Source organism: Homo sapiens, chromosome 7, assembly GCF_000001405.40.
Source record: "Homo sapiens chromosome 7, GRCh38.p14 Primary Assembly".
In the NCBI taxonomy this organism is placed as follows: Eukaryota; Metazoa; Chordata; class Mammalia; order Primates; family Hominidae; genus Homo; species Homo sapiens.
The window spans coordinates 18,677,405-18,701,809 of record NC_000007.14 but is presented as its reverse complement, the minus strand read 5'-3'; the positions used below and the strand labels follow the sequence as shown (position 1 = coordinate 18,701,809).

The 24,405-nt window shown below is 34.6% G+C and overlaps 1 protein-coding gene across 6 annotated transcripts in view; it reads right to left on the bottom strand.

Moving 5' to 3' along the window:
* HDAC9 (histone deacetylase 9) overlaps positions 1-24,405 on the bottom strand; it is a 915,592-nt gene that overhangs the window by 300,607 nt on the left and 590,580 nt on the right. The gene's annotated exons all lie outside the window — the stretch shown is intronic.

The window sequence follows — 24,405 nt, the reverse complement described above, 5'->3', positions numbered from 1 at the left end:
TATGGGAAATCATATGTACAAGACATCACAGATATGTGGGAATCTAGGGTGTCTTTGGACATGTAATGGATGTTCCCTGTTCACTTCATGTGTGAATTAGGCATGACATTGACAGATGATTTTATCTACTAATTATTCAAAGTTCTGTATTCCCATGACGAAATTATTTATAATGGGTTCTGATTTTAAAGACAGAATTTTGAAACAGCATTGTATTTTCTATTAAAAATATGCAACATATGGGTGTGTAGTATATATCTAACGGACATTAACAAAAAATAACTCATCTTTAGGAAATTGCCTTTATCTGAAAATACATGTTAAGACTAACCAGTTGAGTTTCATAGTACTGGTGTACTGTGGTACTATAGTACAGTTGTGTTTTTTTTTTTTGTTTGTTTTGTTTTTTTTTAAATCAGACGCCACAACAGAATCAATGTCTGTATTGGACATGAGAATTTTGAAATGTCTTTTTGGCATGTCAGATTACAGTTTGTAAAACATGCATTTATTATTCTCCTAAATATCTCCAATGACTAGAATGATACACCAAAACTGGGAGAAGATTCACTTATCTCGGAGAGTTGTTTTCTTGTTTGTTTGTTTTGTTTTGCTTAAGAGGAAAAAAACCTCACAGTGGCAAGGTTTTTTTTTTTTATGAACAAGTTTCTATGTATTCAGGTTTATTGATTCTAATATGAATTTTGCAGAAACATAAATTTTGCAGCAACAGTCATGAAAACTTTTTAATTTGGTCCTGTATCTGTCCAACTGAAAGGGATTTCAGAAACTAGGAAGAAAGTGGCAGTAAAGGTAGCAGTACAGGTACCCAGTGAAGCATTCCTCTCTACACACAAGCTTTTAAGTAGCTCCCTCCCATGATAACCCTGAGCTTGGCCGTGGGATGTGATTTGACCAATGAGATAATAGCAGGAGTAACAGAAGCAGACACTTAAAAAGTGCTTGCCAGCTGGGGCCAGCAACTTCTGGCTACTGGGAGCACTTGTGCCATGCCCTGTGAGCACACTAAGGCTAGTCTCCTGGAGATGACAACCATGTGGAGAGAGGCCCTAGCATTCTCAGCCAGGCAAGCTTTCCCAGACGTGTGAGCAAGGCCAGCCTAGACCTAGCAGAGTAGACTCAGAACAGAAGAACCACCAGCTGATCAGTAGATTCCTGGGTAATAATGCGTGTTTATTGTTTTCATTATGTTTTGGGCTGATTTGTTACAGAGCAAAAGGTTGCCAACTCAATACTGTTCCTCCAAAAATGTAAATATAAATCTAGCAAAGGCTCAGAGTGACTGAAAACTGTTACCAACACACAGAGGTGAGAGATAGCCCCACTCCCAAGCGTATCTTGATAAACAGACCAACTACCTCAGTTACTTCTGGGAAACTAAATTCTAGAATGGCAGTCGCATTGTCACCGTTATTCACGCAAAAGGCCACAGGGGGCAGTGAGGGGTTAAAGGGTTGGTCAAGTTAAGACGATAAAGACAACTCATTCATAAGATGCAACTGCATTTCACAGAAATTCTAGGACTTCAAAACTACTTCTCTCCCTCTCCCCATCGCCATACACAAACATATGATTGTTGAAGTAGAGGAAACATCCAAATCTAGTAATTGCTCTAAGATCTCAAAACCTTTAGAATCGTTACCTCTCCAAAAGGGAGACATTTTTTTTTCTTCTTGTAGCTTCCAATGCCAGGACAAGTGTGCCTGTTACTCTATAACCATCATCTATGAGACTAATTTTCGTAAACAGGTATTCCTTTAAGGTATTTTGGCTATTCCACAAAACATGGCTTTGAGGAACATTTAGGAACACAGAACAACGTTAACATGTCAATAGAAAAAAAATCATTTTACAAAATTGTACATCTGATATGAATCAAATTTTTAAAAAATATACATATTTTATATATGAAATACAAAAAAAGGACTTTGAAGAAAATGTACCAAATAGTAAAAGATTTTATGGAATTAGAGGAGATTTCTATTTTCTAGTCTTAATCCTCAGTAGTATTAAAATGCATATAAAATACAAGACAAATTAGCATAAACTGGAATCAATGGGGAATATCTTAATATATAAAGTAGATTTCTAAGAGCCATTTAGGAAAAATCAAGAAATGTAGACCAAATAACAGACAATGAACATTCCTAGGAGTAATTGGGAGGGTGTTCACTATAGCAGGGAAAACATGTTCAGATTTTATATAAATAAATAAATAGATGGAATTGTATGATATACAAGAACCTCTAAAGTTCGTTGTCATGTTCTTCTGTACTGATTTTATACTTCTTACACTTCTTATTTGCACTAAGGAATTCTGATTGGAAACATATTAAATTGCCTCACAGGTTTTGCTAGTATTCTACATTATTTCGACACACACGTACACACACACACAAACACACGTACACGCACACACACACAGACACACCTACAGACTCCCCTGCCCACACTGCTCTCTGTGCTTTTAAGATTCTAAGGCACAGAGAAGGTTTGGAAACGTTACCTATTACCCAAAGTTCCTGTCTAAGCCATGGAAAGATATCCATGGGATCACCCTCTATTGACTGTGCACAAAGCTTAAAACATAATTATGTTGAGAAATGCAAATTTAGAATAAGGTGTGAGTCAGAAGTCTTGGTTCTCAATGGTTGCCCCAGCCAGTTGACACAGTTAGGGAGAGATACTGTGGATTTGAGACCCCAGAATCACTGCTGTGTCACACTTTTTGGTGTGCTTTTGAGGTGCTGAAGAGGAACAGAGTCTGAAGACGAACTATTGTGCATTGCTATAATCTCCCCCATCAAGTGTAAATGAAAAGTCTTTTTCCCAACAAATAGGATGACTTTATGAAGCTTGTTGCTAACCTTTCATGCTTAGAACATGACAGTGTACCATTTTTTGCCAAAATATTTTGCAAACAAAATGTGATGTAGATCTTTGATAACTAATGTGATACAAGAATAATTAATATTGTAAAAGAAAAAAATAGAGAAATCAGAGTTGCCTCCTCCCTGAATGCAATATCCACCTATTACAGACCACTGTGACCTTTCTGGGAAAAGTCACTTCCATTGGACAGGGCAGTGGCCGCAAGGCAGCAAAATACCACTTGGAATAATTCTTTACAGATGCCAGGAACTGGAAGTTTCAAGGGGAAAAATGAAAGCCATTCACTCTTCCAATGACACAGGCCTTTGATACCATAAAGCCATTTAGACTGAGAGCTCCAAGGTCAGGAAGGCACATAAAGATTGGTGATTAGAGAAATACTATATCAGCAAAGTGTGGCAAGCTATTAAAAGAAACTATAGCTTTTATGATTGTGTCGCTGAAGCTCCCCAGGGCTATTTGTATTAGATATTGAGTTAAGCATAACTTATTTAGTCCCAGCATTCCAGAAAACATTTTGATGTCAGCTACTGCAGGAAAGTAAACACAAACCAAAGGAGGAAACAGAACTGATCTCAAACGGATAAAAATGGCGTAATTTAATTTTCTGAACCCGGGCGTTTTAGAGCATTAAGAATGACGAATTTTAGAACGGTCCTTTCAACTTGAAAAATAAAGTTTATTTAGGCATTTGGTGTAGGGGGAGAAAAGTAGCAGAGGGCTTACATAATCAACTCATTGAGCTTATATTAAATTCTGATCAAAAAGAATTTTTGATGTGTTTAGTGAAGCATTTCCAGAGTTATAATCAGTGTTTATGATAACAGATAAGTTTCCTTCTTTTTCTCATAATCACATAATTTTTGTTCATGCGTCTTCTCCTGGTGAGTCTAATTTTAGCATTACTCATGATATCATTGATTCATGAGTAGTTAGAGTTCACTGAACACTTCCATGACTACCATCAAAATTCTTTTTATTAAGTCAAGGCTTTAGTACTGATCACCCTCATCATGCCTCCCTAAAATTCAACCCTAAAATAACATCCAACCCTAAAATAAAAATCTTGGCAGTCATGAGCATAACAAAAAAAAAAATCTACTGTTTACTTCCATTTCGATCCAAAGTAAGAAATGTTTGAACTCTAAACTCTCAGCTCATGCCAAGACCCCTGAAAGGAATTTCCTCACAGGTCCCATGAAGACTGAGCAAACCATGGTGACTCAAGGGATAAGAGCCATTTGAACACTTTAGGAATATCAGTGTCTAAAAGATTAGCCATCTTAAACAGTCTTAACATAGGTGGTATTACAGTTGAAAAGGGAGTGGGACAAAAAGCTTCAGATGTTACCCAAAGGAAGAAATATTTACTGTCTTTCCAAACAGCAAGATAATTTTCAGCAAAAAGAGAGACACAGAGAGAGACAAAGAAAGAGAGATTGAGACTAGGGAAAAAACATGTAATAATGTGAATAGTGCTTGCTCTGGGTGATGGTTTTATGGGTGATGTTTCACCTGTTTTTTATACTTGTCAGCTTTTGCCAAATTTTCTACAAAGATCATGCATTCCTGATTTAAAAAAAATAAAAGGAAGAAAACACATAGGCCATTTTAAAATGTAAAAACAGGCTAATGATCCCATCTCCCATAGGCTGGGCCTCGTCATGATGAGCATCTCATCTGCCAGGATGTGATCCTAGAGAAGCTCATCCAGATTTACTACTGCTGAAGGGAAACTGCTAGGCCATCCTTACAAGGAGAGTCTTCCAAGTTAAGTATTTGGGACTTTGAATGCGTTCCTCAGGCATCGTTTACTCTTAGCTTAACTCTAAGAATTTGCCTCTGTGTTTTCACTAGCAAAGGAAGTCTCTGGGTTACTTTTATTTATTTCTCCGTAATAAGTTGTTTGTGCTTATGTGTGGGAAGAATAATACCTCCAACAGATATCTTTGCAATCATATCTCTTCCTCAGCGCCAATGATGCTCACCGAGAATGTGATGATTGTTATTGCCACTATCTGTTCTGTTCTGTTTGATAAGTGCCAAACCAAATGGTTGTTCAATATTGTGAATCTCACCTGTAATTGTACAGCCATAGATTCCTAAGTCAAGTAATAATAAGAACAACTGGCTGGGCACGGTGGCTCACGCCTGTAATCCCAGCACTTTGGGAGGCCGAGGTGGGCTGATCACAAGGTCAAGAGATGGAGACCATCCTGGCCAACATTGTGAAACCCTGTCTCTACTAAAAACACAAAACAATTAGCTGGGCGTGGTGACGTGCATCTGTAGTCCCAGCTACTCGGGAGGCTGAGGCAAGAGAATCGCTTGAACCCGGAAGGTGGAGGTTGTAGTGAGCCAAGATCGCGCCACTGCACTCCAGCCTGGAGACAGAGCAAGACTCCGTCTCAAAAAAAAAAAAGCAAAAAAAGAAAAGCAACCGCAGATCATTATATAACTATAGCTACATAATGTATAACATACAAGTTTTATACATTATATAGTATAATATGTTATTATACTATATAATTATAACATATATAACTATATAATATATACAAGTATATAATTATAATATAGTTATGTAATTATGCAGCTATAATGTAGTTTTGCATCTTGTGACAACATTTAAGATAATTTAACTATAATTTCACAGCCAATCTATTTCAGTGATTAGTTTGAATTAAACGTCTATTTGGTTTAAAGAAGCCACCATTTTGGAATACTATATAAATGTATCCTATTAGTGATCACTATCTGATTGGCAATACTAAGGAAAAGACAAAAATGATATTAAAAGCAAGAGCATTCTATCACATTTTAACCATGTTTCATACATACAGCATAGTGTTAGTACGAATGATATTACAGATTTCAACTTTCAAAAATAAAGTAACAATTTGAGTTCACTTTGGAAAATAGTCATATGTGAAATAGTTACATAAAACTTTTTACCATCTAGGTCCATTATATTCAAAATACTAGCCAGAAAATAAATAAAAACGTGTGACAAAACTGCATCTAGGTCCATTATATTCAAAATACTAGCCAGAAAATAAATAAAAATGTGTGAGAAAACTGAAAAACTGAGACACTCTTCTCTAGGTATAGATTTTTCTTAAGAAAAAGGAAGAATCCTTCAAGTTGTGCTCTTTTTTTGGTTGTTAAAGAAAGTTCAGGTGAGGATAAGCTCCTGTTGGACACTCATAAACCACCCGTTCATTCTCAATTTAGAATACCAAGGAACACAAACCTGACATCAAGGTCAAACTAAATCCTGTATCTCTAACCTTGGCAACATTTTGAAAACACCAGAGAGATTACCAAGTAAACTATTCATTCTTTAATGATTTCTTGCTAAGTCCCATTCTGGTCACTGATTGGAAGTGTCACTATGCTGTGTTAAGAAACTCCTTCTACTCTTTCAAATCAATCTCCAAAAATGTTGAGTCAACATGGACTGTGTCATATAAACACAGTCCTCATTTATTGTCACATTTATGTTGATATTATTTGTTAAATAATTAGCATCGTAGGAAAGATAGGGAAACACAACATTCCCACATGATTCCAATATTCCCTCCTTGAGCATTATCTCGTGTTCCCTCCCCCAAAGAGTCCCTGAATAGACATAACATAATATTCTTTTCTAACTTGAGTGGCAACCCAAGCTACAACTGCAGATGTCATTGCTAATAGTGTTATCATTTTTGCCCTGTTAGCCTAAGGCACACCTGTTCAGATGCAAAACTGATGCTCCTCCAGTCATCTTGATCCAGTCCCAAGATGTCCTAAAGTGTGTAACTTTAATTGTTTAGAATAATGTTAAGTGTCACTTATGTCCTTACTAATTCCATGCAGCAACCTTCAGACTAAATACAATTTGACTTCCTTAGATAAAGCATGAGGAAAATTTAGGGTTTTAATGAAACAAAATAAAAAATGTCACTCCCACTCCTATGTAAATTAGAGAAAATGAGGAGTAGGAGGGAGGAAATATCCAACACATTTTCTTTTATTAATACTTTTCAATAGTACAGAAATTCTCCCAAGGATATTGTCCCTTTGAAGAAAAAGTTCCATTTGCATAAACTGGAGGGGCCTCTTTAATGTAGTTTTCATTATCTTGACTCCAAAGTGACTGATGTCAAGACCAAGGGAGTCAATCAGGGCAGATACACTCCAGGACACCACAGAGAAATAAATCAGCCCATCCTCTCCACCCAGAAGAGTCCTGCTCCACGAAAGGGATTTGCGAGTCTCTTTTCTGAAGCAGGCAGCCAAGTTCCATTATTATAAGGACTGACTCCCATCTCTTAGAAGTCTCTCATTCTTTGAGATAATTGGGGTGCCCTGCGTCAGTTATCTAATAGGCTAATGAACTTTGGAGATAAACCAGTTCTTGACCATTTCTTGCCCTCTGAACACTCCCGAGACACCAACCCCATTTAGCCATTTATCTCATTACGTTAAGAAGAGAAAATTAACCCTAAAGAAAATGAGATAGCTCCTTGACTGTTGGCTGAATGTGGTATGGGTCATCTTGTGAGGAGAGAGGGACAAAGGAAGGAGAAGAAATCAACACATTCATTAGATCCTTTGTGACAATTAACCCTTTGCCTCTCTCAACCATTTTTTCCCATCTACAATTGCATACAAAAACTATGGAGTTTCTGTCTACTGGTCTTTTCTTTTTTCAGCCTCAGTTATTCCATTTATTGCATGATGAGGCAGGTCTACTGGGTCATCATAGGTGTGGGTGAATTAAAAACGTCATCATTTGGTCTTTATTTCACAAGCTTGACTTAGTGCTGTTTTCACTTGCAAAATACAAATGTGAAAACTATAATTTATTACTGTACTAGCAATTCAAGATGTTTTGCTTGGATCCTGTGTGTACAATCGGTTACCAACATTCCAGCCTGTTTTGCTTTAGTTGGCTACTAGTTTACTACCCTCAATTTCATTCTCTAAATCTGTGTTTAAAAACAATTTAACTACACTTTGATTCTGTTTGGAAAAGCAGTTATGAGCTCCCCTCACTAATGCACAGCAACATATTAAATGTGGTTTGTAAAATGTCATTTTAAGGCAGATGACAAGCTTCAAATGATTTATTTAGCAATTCTTTAATTTCACACATACTATTTTATCCTAATAGATATCAGAGGCTGGGTCACTTCCGGAGTACATAAAGAGGTTATTTCGACTAAGACACTTGAGTGGCCTTGAAATCCCAGTCTACTTGAAGTTGTGAAACTTGTAGCTGGAACAATCAGCCTTCCTGCTCTATGAGCAACCCCTACTGGACAATTGCTCAATTTGTGCTGCTGCACCACCAGAAGCATCTGTTCTCTCCTCGTCTCTCTCCTCCCTATTTGAAAATTTTTTTCGTTAAAAGTAAATTGTGTAACTTCTTTGCTCATATTGAATATTTAGTTAAACAAACACACCAAATATGTCCTCTAAAAATATTTTGACCTTCTTAAAATAGGAAGAGTACTGTGTTTTCTCAATCTATTCTCCCATTCAAGGACATTTTCTGTATCTAATAATTAAAGAATTCCTTTAGCTTTATAAATGTACTCTGAATTTCAATAACTATTACAAAAACATTGCAATAGGCTAAATAGAAATAATGCTATTTTTGTTTGGTTTGGTTATCTCTCCTTTTAACAATTAGGTGTCAAATATAACCTTATCTCAGTGTATTGTTTTCTGTGAGTCCCAGGACTTTAATAATATCTAAGTTGATCTAGTTTTTATTCTCAGCTACTATTTAAATTTTTTTCTTTTTAAAGTTTTATTTTATTTTTAATTAATACAAAATAATTGTCTATATTTATGGGGCACAATTAGTTTTTATGTTATTTAAATTTATCACAATAAAAAATTAAAAAGCCAAAAAATAGCTTAGTCTTTAAAACAGTATAGTATACATAACAACACAAAAAATGTATTTATCATCGGCTACTGAATATGACAATTTTCTTTTACTACAAACATCTGACTGAAATGTAAGATTTTTCTTTCCACAAAAAAATAACAGGACAAAACAAATCATTATTTACCAGTGCCCAAAAAATGCACTTACTTTTTACCATAAAATATACATGGTCACTTTTATAAATGGCTGGCGAAAGACATTAGATTGTCAGAGCCCTGTTTATATACAAGACTAGCAAACAAGTAAACTTAGCCACATGATGTGAGAAAGTATTATATACTAACTAGATCTCCATTAGTTTGCGTGGCCCACAAAATCTCTTTAAACAGAAATTAACAAGAAACCCCAAACTTAGTCTGAGATAAATAGATTTACATCCAAATCTTCTTTTTCTCAAATGCACAGAAAAAGGAAAGACGGTTTGTTTTAAGTTACAGTTCACTTCAGTTTTGTTACCTAAAGTCTGAGATATGAGGAGTTAAAAGCTTATTACCTATGTCCTAGGTCAGTGTTTCAAAAAGTTTGTTCCATAAAAAAGTAACATTTTAAAAATGTCATGGTCATTTTTTTAATGTTGCGATCAATAATGTAAATAAGTTGCTGTGCTGCAGGATTTCTCAGAGCCACCAGTTTGCTAAAGTACTCCGGGTGTCTCCACAAAGCTTACATAGAATGTGAAGCTTACAAAACTCATCAGACAAGAGAACATCTCCCTGGACTGATGTTTTAAAACACAATTTGGAAAGTTTTCTCTTAAGTCATCCAGGCTTTTTCCTTCTGAGTATTCTTAAGAAGAGTAATGGTTCATTCCTTTCCAATCTGTAGCTATCACATTAAGCCTTAACTCTGTGAATGGGGCTGAAATATGCTGTCTTTTCTGAGACTCATTCACCATTTACCCCAGGAGACAGGTATTATTAACTCCATCTCATTGATGAGGAACTTGAGACTTGTAAGTGGCCAAGGCAGGTCTCAAACACAAGATGTGATCACTGCAGGGTCTGCCCTCTTTTCTTTATGTTGTGTTACACAGACTGTTCTCTTTTGTTGACACTCTTTAGTGACTTCTCTGGTATGCCAAGGTCATATGACCTGATTGGGATCAATATGGGCTACCCCACATTGGCAATCTTGATGGTTTCCTCTTTGACCACTGCAGTCTATGTTAGCTTGAATTCTATCTATTGTGGAAAAAAATTACACACAGGTTAATTTTATTTAGAACATTATCCATTCTAAAGGACTGCCATTTATGACACACAGAGTAGGGTGAAGAATGCATAAATGTTAAAATTAATCAAAGATAAATTTGGAAATAACTGAAAGGAATTTTGGTTAAAGAGCAATTGGAGGTCAACATTCATGTTACAGGTGGTCTGTGTTTTCTTCCCCTTTACCTACAAGCCAAATATTACCAAGCCAGAAACCACGAAGCAGCCCTTTCCACCTCACGGTAACAAGACATTAACAGCCCACGGAAAAATCAACATATAATTTAGTTTTATACTGCTTACGAAAGTCCCTCTACTCTTTGGTACTTAAATGAATATAAGATCAGAAAGAGCAATACAAAGTGACCCACCAACCTCTCAGAAAAGTTTTGGTAAAACATATTTAAACTTCTGGATTATTGTCTGTTAGCATTAATGAGGACATGTTAAATACTTAAATTGCAAATAATTTTTTTGTTAGGAAGTAGCAGGTAACCCTCTTATGCAGAACATAAACTTGAGTGCACAAATTGCTCTCAGTGGTTTGCCATGTCTCCTATCTCCTGAATGCACCGTCTCAGACACTTTTTCTTCATCATTAATTAGATGGGTTTCATTCAGAGTTAAGAAAAGACCTTCTATGCATGTGTAAATACTGCAAAGCAAATAAAATTAGCATTTTGCTCAGAATTTTCCAAGACAGAAGAATTCCACAGAAGTTATTTATAAATATACATTAAACAGACATCTGATAATATTAGTTTTTTTTGTTTTCCCTACAATCCCTTAGTGGAAAACTATAATCGCAAGGTATATGATCAAACAGAAATATGCTTTTGTTTCTGAGTGAGGAGAGGCAAATTCCATAAAGGACATTAAGCAACTCTATTATCAAATCTAATATATCTTTTAATATTGTACAGAAAAAAGGCATAATGCCAAAATGTGCTAGTTGCATGCCGTACGTCTTGTTTGCAAAATTGGTTACTTTGTCCTGTCTTTATTCAAATTTCGAGAGGATTTTCTCTCAAAATAATTAGACTTCTCTTTTCTATGAATAAATTCATGCACAATGTGTACTATAGCCACATTTAAAAAAAATAAATGGTACTTTAGCAATTTGACCCTGGTGAAAATAGAAAGGCGGCTGCTTCTCATTTTCAGAACAGCAGAAAGAATAAAAAAAGAGCTCTAATTCCAGAAAAGAAACAGGGACATAGATTGTGCCAAACATTAAAGAAATGTCTGGCAGGGATTGTTGTCCCACAAAAGATGGATTGGCTAAAAAAGTTATGCTCACAGACACCTTTTCAGCATCAATCTCTGCAAAGGAGAGTCAAAGTTTAAAAATACCAGCCTCTGCCAAAACAAAACCAAAATATACGTATACACCTATCATATAACCTATGAACAGTTATGGGATATAATTTACAAATATTTTAGTTTCATAAATGCAAATTGCAGTCGTTGCATCTTGGCGTATTATAACCAGTAATATCTCTTCACTTTATCTACTCAAAGTTCACATCTAACACTCAGGAATATAAAATATGGATAAAAACCTCTTTAGTTACCATCAGATGAGGGGGCTCTTGCAAAAAGGGTTGAGAGACAAGCAGCAATATGCTGTCTGGAAATGAACCAGTGGGACTGCTCAACAAACTTTGTGCCTCATTCTACAGTCACCGCCTCTGTTCCTTTCCCAAGGATGCTTAGGCCATTTGATGAAACACCACTGCTTGATGTCAATAAATCTTGATTTAAGGCATAAAATTACCCATGGAAGAATACCTTCTACACATCATAATGGAATTTGTGTCCTGACTTATAGATATATGCAAGAATGTGATTTCTTTTCTTAATAAAATTTGGACAATTTGGATTATTCCCTCTCCCTAGATACAGTTGACAAGTACACCAAAAATGCTTATTTTAAGCCAACCATAGCCACAGAAGAAATATGCCACCAACCAAACCAATGATATCCTGTTTAAATCAAAGGGAAACTAGGCTGCTAGTGATCCTAATGGCCGTAAGCCCAAAATGGACCATAAATCCATCATGCTAAGCACTAGGCCTTGTTGCTACTGTGGTTGCATAAAACCAGTTAGAAACAACATTGCTGTAAAACCGTAAGCCAACAAAACTTTACCTTTAGTTTGAAAATCTCCAAGAATATCAGGCACTATCTGGTTAAGAGAAATTTCTTGATTAAGAGAACTTTTAATATATTCCTAAAACATTCCTAAAGGGACTGTTTGGTTATAATCATTTTTCTTCCTCTTTGCCTTTAAATCATTCCTCTCAGACTAGATCCTCTGCAGCAATTACCATTGACCCTTGTGACATTGTTTCTTAGCCATATCCTACTAGAAAAGCCAATGGGCGTTTCTGAATTTTGAAAATTGTAAGGAAGGCTGTAGTACCTAAAATCTCTCTCTGTCTCCCATGTCTTAGTTTAAACTCATTATTTATCCTACGGTGGGAGGGAAATAATGTATTCATTTGGAAGTTGCAATAATGTTTAGAAAAGAAAGCTCCCCCAAATCCAAATCCAGGATTTCTTCTCCAAGGTTAGGCCAGTCTCTAGCAACCCATTTTAATGTTTTAATGGTGTGTATGTTTGTAAGTTATTTTTCAACGTAAGTCTTTGTAAACTGTATTTTTAATTTATCTGCTCCCATTTGGTAGTTTTAATTTATGTGACAGAATACAGGTTCAGAAGCAATAAAGTTAAATCACTTTTAAAGTAGACTATAATTAAAACTTCCATTAAGTTAAACTGTCTTTCCTTTACTTTTTCTAAGTTAGTGATATTTTAACTTATTTCAGTGGAAAATGGTTTTTGCCAGGTAGCTAACAACAGCCCAAGTGTCTCATGGAAAGATATTTACTTGTCTTAACCTTTCTCTGTAACCATTAGGGTCCTTGTCATTTTGACTTCCTTTCAGCTAGTGACCTCTGCCCTGCTCCAATTTAAAGATAAACTTAAAGACATTTCCCGTGAATGTGTGCTTCTTCTAGTTTTTCGGTGGAAACAGTAGGATCTACTTGTCTAACCAATTATCTCCTATTTGAAAAGACATGTGGGGTGGGTAATTGTGTATTGGAAGAAGGTTTACAAAGAAGTAAACAGGAAAAAAAGGATGTGCCAACTATAAGTGAACCCAGAAGTCAGTATCAAAATTGGAAAATGAAAACTATTAGAGAATAAACATGTAACCTTCAGGAGTCAGCTTTTATCAGCAATATAGAGGGCATATGTAAAAATATTTCTAAAATAATTGGTTGGAAAATGTCACTGGAATTGGAGTAAAGCAAATCATCTTTTGTAAATTTGCACATTATTCATAAAATTTGTATATAAATATACTAGAAATGGAACCTTCATCATTTAGAAGTTTAGAAATGCATTCCCGGTGTCAGCAGTCAAACTAAGGCTAGACTAAACAGACTGAGCTTTATAAAACAGCATTTTTCCTCCATCATTTCTTGCTCTCTGAGAATATTATTCTTTATGATATTGCTTTTGAAATCCTATTTTTTATTCCACTTGTTGAAAACTAAAAGAGTAATGGAGTAGAACAAACTGATGTATAGAAAAATAGTATTCTAAATAATACACACACATATAGACATAGCTCATATATAAGTGTGTGTGTGTATATATAGTCATTTTGCTCAATTTTCAGGTTATATGGGCTGTTTGTGGAGTTTCCATGTTTTCAGTTAGCTTATAAATGGAAATCTGATAGCTACCTCACTCCTTCACACATTACATTAGGGAAAAATTCTATAAAGTAAAAAGTTATCTAGCCAGAGTTTATACCAGATACTGTGGAAAATTTATTGGGTAAAGACTAAAACAATCTTTATTATAAGAGACCACACCTCAATATACAATGAAGAAAAATGTTTCCCTTGTGAAAAAACATAATAAAATATGTCCATCTAACTAGTCATGAATCCCTGCAGAAATACACAGCTTTCCCTCTTCTTCCCTTTCTGAATTCCTATTCATTTTGAGTCAGGATAGCCTAGTCCATTAATTAACCTTCAGGTCTTTGAGGTCACCTCCTTGGATCTGTTCTCGATATGTTGAAATAATTTATTCCATAGTGAATATCAAAGATACCTGAATATTGCCAAAATAATGATGTCCTGCATCTACTACTATACCCGGAGATGTGAAAAATAAAAGAATGCAAAATTCACTGAAGGACTTTTGAAAAGTATAGATGTTATTTATCCCAATATAGACATTTATTTCCCATCAATGAGGGTTCTATGATAGTATCAATTATAACATAAAAATATTGTTGTAAATTATATCATACACCTTTGAATATCTGTTATTTCAAGAAGAGTAAACTAGTTTGTGGTTTTGCAAGCAAATACACATAAAGGGATCTGGCATGGCCAGTGCATTGAGTAGAAGATTTATTTAAATGGTACCTACTTAAATCGGTTGTACTATTTACTAGCTTATGTTACATATTGAACAGCTTATTGCCTATGCTGGAAAATGTGTTGCCCTAGGAAATGTGTATATACAGAAATAACATTAAGAAGCTACACTAAGAATTTTGATAGGATTAGAAAGCATAAATGTTTATTAACTATTTATATTTATGTAAAGCACATGGTACTTGGAAAATTCAGACTTTAAACAATTATAAAAATATGAACTCTCAAAGCATACTGTATCTGTTCCTATCATGTAGTACCTAACATCTTTTATCTAATAATTTTATATATGTATAATTTACCCTCTTCTTATCAGGTTATAAGCTTATTGGAGCCAGGCGGGACCATGTCCAATATTTAAAATAATGCCTTGCACATTCTGATGTGTGATAAGCAATTAAAGAAATGAAGGTTTATGTTAGATTAGTTGAATTATTTTATGAGGATTTTTACATATGAAGGTGAGAGGATTCCAACCATTCTTTTAAACATAGTGTTTTACTATAACTATGTACGGAGAAGAGGAAAAAGTTTTGTATAAATGTTGACAGAGTTAAAATTTCAGAATCCACCAGGTAGGTTAAAGAGACTTCAGCCATTTGTGAAGAATTTATGCCAGGCTATATATCTAAATTCGTGTTTCTCTAGATATTCTAAGAGGTGAAGGGAATGAATATATATTTAGACTTTAAAACATTAATACATAAGGCAAATTCCACATCAAGTATGTAATATAAGAATGGAAGAGTTGGGGATTTCATAAATGACATTTGTAGTCTTCCAAGCCATGACCACAAGATGTAAGCTTTATGAACTAGAGATGAATAGAAGAATTAAAAATGCTAAGACATGTGTTTAGTATGAAGGAAAAAAGCAGGGCCACAACTGTGAAGCCATCCATACAGTGACTTCCTGACTGATAGGAGTTTTTCACATTCCATCTTTGCCTTTGCTTTCTACAAGTGCTGGAACATTACCATGAAAATAATTGGAGGGAGTAAAGAAGACTTGGTTGAAAAGTTAGCATAGTAGCAAATGGCTTTTCTGATTTGATGTTGAAAGTACTGTATTTTGAAGTTACATTGAATAGTTTATGAGTCAGACCTGAGTGTCTGTTACTGTATCACCACAAATTGACTGAGACTCCAAGCCAGCCTCTCAACCTTTCTGGATATGGATCAGGGATGGAATCTGAGCTCTATCATAGTTCAGATGTATGACTTCTGCTTTACCACACTGAAGTCTTCATTTTTTCTTTGGTAAATATGAAATGGTGATTAAATGATAAACATAAATTACTGGGTATGGTGTTTGGCAATTAATTAGCTTTCAATCCCTACTACCTTTCATTGTTGTTATTGTTGTCATTATCTAACATTCCTACCAACAATAAAATTTTGCCATTCTACACTATTTTTAATAGTGTTTAAACTTTAAATACTGGCACACGCTATTTCTGCATATATTTTATGACTAATTTAGTTAGGTTATTTTCATTCCTGAGGAATATCAAAAACTCTGTCGCATAGAATGTTTCTTCCATCTCACCCCACCCCCCTTAGGAGGAAATCTATTTGCCAATTCTAGTTCAAAAATAGTAAATCAGCATTCACTTGACATTTTCTTAAACACTGAACAAATCTTTTTTCTACTAGTTAGAATTTTAAAGGAAATTATATGAACATAAAAGAAAAATAATTTTTAAAACTAAGATGGTCATTCAATATTGGTCTGTCTTCCTGATAACTGTCAAGAAAGCTGTGGCTATATGTCATCTTTACATGTCAGCATGGGTGAGCAAACCATAGTCTTTCGATGAAGATCAGGATTAACACTTTCAATTAACAAATGAGGAAACTGAGGCATAGAACACCTAGAAATTGTATAGCTGGCCAAGAACAAAAAAAAAACTGGCTCTTCAGATCTTTGCTTCTCCATCACATAGGCCAGACTGGTTGGGTAAGCTGCTTCCCATGGGTAAGTGGAAAAGGGAGTGATATAGTTAGAACACACAATGGATGGTATAGCACAGTGCATAATGACACTTCATTTTATGAGCTTTCCAGCAAAACACCAGTAGATTCCATAGCTAGAGAACTGCTGTTTGACAGTCTTTTTTTATTTCAGTGTACTCCAACTAACCTTTCTAGAGGTTGTGGTAAGCCACAGTGAGGGTGGAGGACAGTTTCTCTCCATAAATTATCTTCAAAGAGAGATTCAGACGAATTTTATTTAACAACAAAAAAGTGGGAGGACCTTGAGGAGGAAAAGTAACAAGGAAAAGAAAACCACATAAAACTGAATAGAGAGGATCATGTTACAGAAGAAACCATTTTCCTTCAAATTTCAAATGTTTAAAATCAAGAGAAATGATGTGATAAAAAACTAGAAGATTGGCTTTAGAACATAACTTAGGTGGAGGGGAGTTTTCCATGACACCATTAGGAAAAGTGTGCAAAGAAAAAAGTTCACTCATAAATATACATATACATATAAATATATGTGTATATATATTGTGTGTAGGGGGTTACTTCATAAACCAACTGTCTCTTGGGGTAGGAAATAAAGTTCCCAAGCTGTTGAAGAATAATTAGTCTATATCAAATTTTAGGACCTTGATCTTACGTTTAAAATTAAGAGATATGTCATTTTAAATCTGGGTACCTTGCTCAAAGGTATCCATTCACACTCATTAGGACACAGTTCATCAGAAGATGCCTTTAAACCATCTAAAAGTTATCAGTTGGTGTATTAAAGCCTTTTCAGTATAGTTTTATTGTTTGTTTGTTTGTTTGTTTGTTTGTTTGTGAGTTGTTGCACCTCAGGTTGGTCTTGAACTCCTGGGCTCAAGCAATCTGCCCACCTTGTCCTCCCAAAGTGCTGGGATTGTAGGTGTGAGCCACTGCACCTGGCCTAACAGGATAGTTTTGATGAAAAGAAAGTTTTTGTTGTCAGTAAAATGGATCAAATATTGTTTTCTGGTCCTCATGAGTTAAATATTCTTACTTTTTTTTTTTTGAGATAGGGTCTGGCTCTGTTGCCAGGCTGGAGTGCAGTGGGATGATAGGTTCACTGCAATCTCCGCCTCCAGGCTCAAGTGACTCTCCTACCTCAGCCTCTGAAGTAGATGGGACTACAGGCATGCACCATCACACATGGCTTATTCTTGTATTTTTTTGTAGAGATGGGATTTTGCCATGCTACTTAGGCTGGTCTTGAACTCCTGGGCTCAAGTGATCAGCTCATTTTGTCCTCCCAAAGGGCTGGGATTATTGGTGTGAGCCACTGCGCCTGGTCTAACATGATAGTTTTGATTTTAAAAAGTAAGATGGATCAAATATTGTTTTCTGGTCTTCATGAGTTAAGTATTCTTAGTTTTATTTTAGAGTAAATAAAACTTGAAAATTAAAAAAGTTTGAAAAATGGAAGCATATCATAGAAATTACACGTAGAAAACTCAACTCCCAATATCTCAGACTTTGATGCCTCCAGTTTGTTAACAAGCAGAGTTGAAATAAAACAATGTAAAGATTGGTTTCTGCCAGCACTATCTTTCCATTTTGAGTGAAAAAATACAACAGCTCACTCAATATACCTATAAGAAGTAAGCAAGCGCTTCAATAAATTTTGTCCATTATCATAAAACAAACAAAAAATAAACTATTACAATTATCAGCGGAAGCTGTTCCTCAAAGTAACCCAGTGGATAACAGAGGTCATGAAACTGTAGTGTAGGGAAGTAAAGATCCTTCCTACTTTCAGTCTTTAGAAGAACCAGGGACAAGATGTCAAACCCTTTGCTGAACTGTGGGTTCTGCTCAGAAGTAGCGATGTTTAATGGAAAGAACATGGAACTGGATGTAGGTTTTGATCACAGTTCTGCAACTTAGAAGCTGGAAGATCTTGATCAAGACTGGTGCAGGTTTTGTGCTTTATATATATTTTGACCATAGTGGCACAAACGACACTGTATTTTTTATTTTTTTCATTTAGAATTTTAGGACAATGTGCAAATAAAATTTGGAGTAATGTTTACTACAAGCCAAATTAATTTGTAAGTTTAATTATAAGGACTTTTTCTATACACCTTGCTGTTTCTAAATCTCTATTTGAAATTGCACAATTACTTTCACTATTGTTATTCGTTTTTTGTAAAAAAAAGAAAAGTTCAGAATTTCACAAGGATTACATTTTCTAGCAGAAACAAGGTTGTACCATTTTAATACCTATATTCTAGGGCCTTATGTTTGGCTAACAAATAAATTGTCTTTAAATTTTTTTTGTTGTTGTTGAGGCAGAGTCTCCCTCTATCTCCCAGGCTGGAGTGTAATGGTATGATATCAGTTCACTGCAACCTCCGCTTCCTAGGTTCATGCAATTCTCCTGCCTCAGCCTCCCAAGTAGCTGGGATCACAGGCGCCCACCACCATGCCCAGCTAATTTTTGTATTTTTATTAGACAGGGTTTCACCACGTTGGCCAGGCTGGTCTCGAACTCCTGACCTCAAATGATCCACCCACCTCCACCTCCCAGAAAATTTTTAAGATCTCTATTTCTGAATTAACTGTCACCTCACGATTAATTTGATTTCAACCTTTAGTCTTGTTATACTTTATAACATTTTCAACAAAACATCAATAGTGAAAAAAAAGACCTTTATAAAAAAAAGGACTGCATTTCTGCCATGGCTATATTTTATTTAGAGAACATGGGTGTTTCCCAATATTAAAAATATATTCATTCTTTAAAAGTTACCAGCAAAACAAATTTTCTTGGATGGATACAACTTTATTCTAAAATCAATATGTAGAGTGAGTGTGAATGTGTGTAGGCATGTGTGTACCCTCAGAAATATCACGCTCTATACATATAAGGAAAATAAAAATGAAAAATTAATCATACACAAAGAACTATAAATTACAATAATGAATCCCAAAATGGATACAATGATTGAAGTTTTAAGTACAATTACACAGAAGAAATGATGACAGAAAGCATTAGAAGAGAAAAAGCACAATGTTCTCTTTGTTATTGATTGTTTACTTGCCCTTAAACAAAATGCAAAATCTATGCAGATCATAGGTTTGTAAGTAAGATTTATACTTTGCATGTGGAAACTATATTATAAGGTCATTTTAAATGTCTGTATTGTGAATGTAAATTATGTTCTGAGAATTGTGTTGGTAAAGAGAATTTAAATTTTTAGGTTTTCATTTCCTTTTCTTAATAAATTTAACCTTTTATTCTAAATTTAAAAATGCAATTAGAGGTAAGGGCTTTTCTTGCAAAGTTTATCAAAATGAAATAGATAATAATTTGCTTAAAAAATCCCAATCTACTGAGAAGCAATGGTTCTATTAGCGTTAGACAAAGGATATTTTCTTTGGGACAGATTGTCATTTATTCAGTATAGGTCCTATGGGTTACTCCAAAGGCCAAGAGATGTCAGAGGGTGGGGCGATATCTTGGCACCTGGGACAGTAGCTCATATGGAATGGATGCTCTGTGTGACTTAATCTAACTTTCTTAGTGCAGGATTAAGTCCATGGGCACATCTTCTTGAAGTTCTAAACTGTGCATGTATCTATAATTGGTTAAGAACCTCAAATCTGGGACAACTAATTTTAAAATCTGGATGTTCAAAGAAATTGATCACCTGGGACAAGTAACTTTGACTCATGGAAGTTGCTGTTAATTCTGCTGGAAATTTAGGCAGAAGTCCTTATTGCAAATCAAGTTCCTATACTGTAGCATATATTTTCAAATCTTCTGTTTTTCTTCAAATGTTCTTTATTAATTTTAAAGCTTTGAAACTAAAGAAATATAATAATAACAAATATTGTTAAAGATAATTTTTAAAAACTGAACATATTGACTATAAAAGAAAAAAGTTTTAAAAGTACTTTAACTTTAAAAGAAAGGCTAAAATATTGAGAACAATTCTGAAGGTGCCTAAATGTATTAATCACCATCTTTTTTATGAAAACAAGACCAAACTGGAATATTCTAATTCAAAAACGAAACAAAATATTTTCTTTTTCAACAATGAATTCACTGAAAGATTTCGAGATTTGGCAAGATGAAGAAAATCACACAAAAATACACACATGAACCAAAGAAGAAGGCTTGAATTAGAATGACAGTTTGTCAGCTAAGTTTAGGGCTAAAGTGATGCAATGAAAATTGTCCTCAGTTTTTACCAACAAAATAGTAGAAAACTAAAACTTCCTGATTATAAAATGATAATCATCTCAATCCTGTATTAAGCCATAGAAAGCAACAGCTCTTCTTCATCTACTCAATATTTCTTTTTCACTTCCCCAAGGCCAAATGTCATCCTTTTTTGTAAAACAAAATCAAAGCCAAATGGTAAAAATGCAAAGATTTGGTTAAACAAACAGTCAAAATTTCAGTGGTTTGTATCTTCAGCATCCCAAGCAACCAAACAAAGCCAAGATATTGTTCATCTCCTTGACAGACAAAGAGCCTCAGAGGTCCAGAGTGACATGCCCGAAGGCTGGCACGTGATTGGGCTAATTAAATTAAATAGCAGGAAACAGCTTTTCCATATGCCACTGCCTGGCCACACACAAACTGTAACAGTAAATCTTTTATACTAGTCAAGGAAAAGTGTAACCATTAAAAAATATACAGTATCAACCCACCATCCAAGAATCAGAAGTTATACATCCACATAACCTCCCTGGGCCTGAACTTGAATGCCAAATGTTGAAAACTTCCAAATTCACTTTAGGGGCCGTCTAAAAGTCCATGGTAATTAAAGAGGATGAAAAAGAAACACCTCTGCCCATCAAGGTTCACTAACACTAACTTCAGCTAATATTCTGATTGCTTTAAGAACACATTTCTATACCAACTAAAATCAAAACCTGAATAGTTCTGAATCAAAGTTAAAATAAAATCTATTGCTCACTTTCCACCACTTTTAATTTCTTCCTCCTCATTACGCAACTGAAGATGAAGAGATAAATGTTTTAAAAGGCATAAAAGCCTTTGGAATCTTTTGAGAAAACTCTCCTAGTAGGCTCCCCACAATTTTTAGGCCAATGGCACAATTTTCTCTAAGTTTGCCACTGCAGTTCTAGGCTTTTGGTCAAGAACATTTTAAACATATCCATACTTTCATGTTTCTAGAAAAGTTCCCCTGGGTTCGTAGGTCCCATTCATTTTTATCAGTCATGGTTTATATTGGCACTGATTTCTAATGCAAAGAACATGAACTATGCCATAGTAATTGTCATCCTGGATAAAGAAACCAGGAACTAAGCACTGTGGTGGAAAACTAAATGCAAGAAAACTGCTTAACAGGGATCCCAAATTAGAAGACTGCAAGGCACTTTTAACTTAGAGACATAGAAAATGTAGAATCATTGCAGAACATCCATGGCTTACCTCTTTAAATAGAAGCATTAAAATATAATATACAAAATGTAAATAATAATTTTTAAAATAAAAATTACACTTACGTTACCTAGTATTTAGATGTTATAAATAGTCCATTATCTATGCTTCATACTGGAATTAAAATTTTTCATAAGACATATTATTTCTTACTATATTAAAGAGTAACTGAATTAACAGAACACGGTCTAATAAATTTAGTAGGATCAATGTTACTCAGAGAAGAAAAGGAAAGAGAGAGAAAGAAAGAGACGGAGAGAGAGAAGAAAGAGAAAGAGGGAAAGAAAGATGAAAAGAAAAAGAAAGAAAGGAAGAAAGGAAGAAAGAAAGAAAGGAAAGAAAAGAAAGAAAAGAAAAGAAAGGGAGAGAGGGTGGGAGGGAAGGAAGAAAGAGAAAGTCTAATTCTTTAAATGGAGATTAGAAAAAAAATTTAAACTAGATTGTATTATTGTTTTCACATAGTTTAACCAATGTAATTGTAGGATGCACAGGTCCTCCAAAAAACTTGGGTAAAAATGTCCATTCAGTCTGTGTTTGTCTGTATATGTATAGGCAATTGTTAATGGTTGTTCCCTCATATCTGCCTTTAAAGTTAATATTTGAATGTAAAGAGTACCAAAATCCAAGAAATTCAAAGCCTGCTTGAAAATGACCAAGCCACACTGGAGAACTGACTTGGTAGGACCCAGTAAGTGACTAGCTTCTAAAGTGAATACAGGACTAAGAATTAGTTGAAGCAGCTCATTCCCCCCAGAATAGCTGGATTTATTTTTTCAGATCTTTACTAAATCCAATCCTTTCTCTCCATCTTCATTCCTGCACCAGGGTCCTAGGCTAAGATTGATTATTCCCTGGTGTCATCCACCCCTGTTAAATGCTCCAGAGAACTCACAAATTAGGGAGCAAGAGAGAAACCAAGTTGAGTGTAAAGGTTATGATAGACTTGCACAAACAAAACTTTAACACAAGCCTTGAATGTTTCAAGTGAACATTCTTTAAAGAAAGACAGCAAATTTAAATTGTCTAACATTGAATGGAAATTTACTAGACATTAAACAGAACAGGAAAATATGAACCATATTCAAGAGAAAAATTAAGCAGTAGTAGCAGACCCCAAAATGGCAGAAAAGGACTTTAAAGTAAACAAAAATACACTCAAGGATTTAAAGAAAAATGTGAATATGTTGCAGAGACAAATGGAAAACATATCTATATTTCTAGATGTGAAAACCTCCAGATCTTAAATTAAAAATTTACTGGATGTGATTAACAGAAGTTCATCCACTAGGAAGAAAAGATGTGTACAGCAATGGAAAATGTACAGAAGAAAACATGAAGAAAAAAATATGGAAACTTGATACGTGAGACAGTATCAAGCAGTCTACTCTATGTGTAACTGGAGTCCCAAAAGAAAGAGAGAGAAAATAATTAGCAGGAAAAATATCAGATGAAATAACACTTGACATTTTCTAAACTTTTAAAAAGTGCAAACCCACAGATATAAGAAGCTCAGTGAACCAAAGAAGGATGTACACAGAGAAAACCACATTAAGGGACATCATAATCAATTTGCTAAAAACTAGTATTAACCAAAAAATCTTACAAACAAGCAGATAAAAATAAACTACTTAATGTTAAGAGTTACTAAATAGCAACCGTAATCAAGATTCTGTGGTATTGGTGTAAAGACAGAGATCAATGGAATAAAATAAAGAGCTCAGAAATCTGCTAACATTTATATGTTCAATTGATTTCTAACAAATAGACCAGAATAATTCAAAGGAGCAAGAATAATCTTTTCAAAAAAAGAGGTGCTGAAAAATCGAATCCTGTAAGATAATGAAACTCAACCTGTCTTCACATCATATAAAAATTAACTCAAAATTGCTCTTTCATTTAAATGTTTAAACTGGAGGAAGAAAGCAGGAAAACAAATCATTCTTGAAAGGACACTAAAGCACTAACCATAGAAGAACAAATTGATAGAATGGAACACATCAAGTGCTAGTGTTAGTGCTTAAATATTCTGCTCTTCAAAATGGAAGGCCAATGACAAAGTAGGTGAAATTATTTGTAACATACATATGTAGAAATAGATTGTATCCAAAATATATAATTTGATAACCAACAATAAAAAGACATGCCTCAATTTAAAAACTGAGCCACCTAATGCAGTCATTAGCTGCATACAGTTAGAAAAACCCGACAATATCAAGTGTAAACAAGAACGCAGAGTAATAGAAACTCATACATTGTTGATGAGAATGTCAAACAATAATTAATTACAAATAATTTGGCAGCTTCCTATAAAGTTAAACCTATACTTAGTGTACAACTCATTTTCACTCCTAAGTAATTACTCAAACGAAATAAAATAAATTTCTACAGAAACTTGTTTAAGATATTCATGGTAGTTTCATTCATAATTACTCACACCTGAAAATA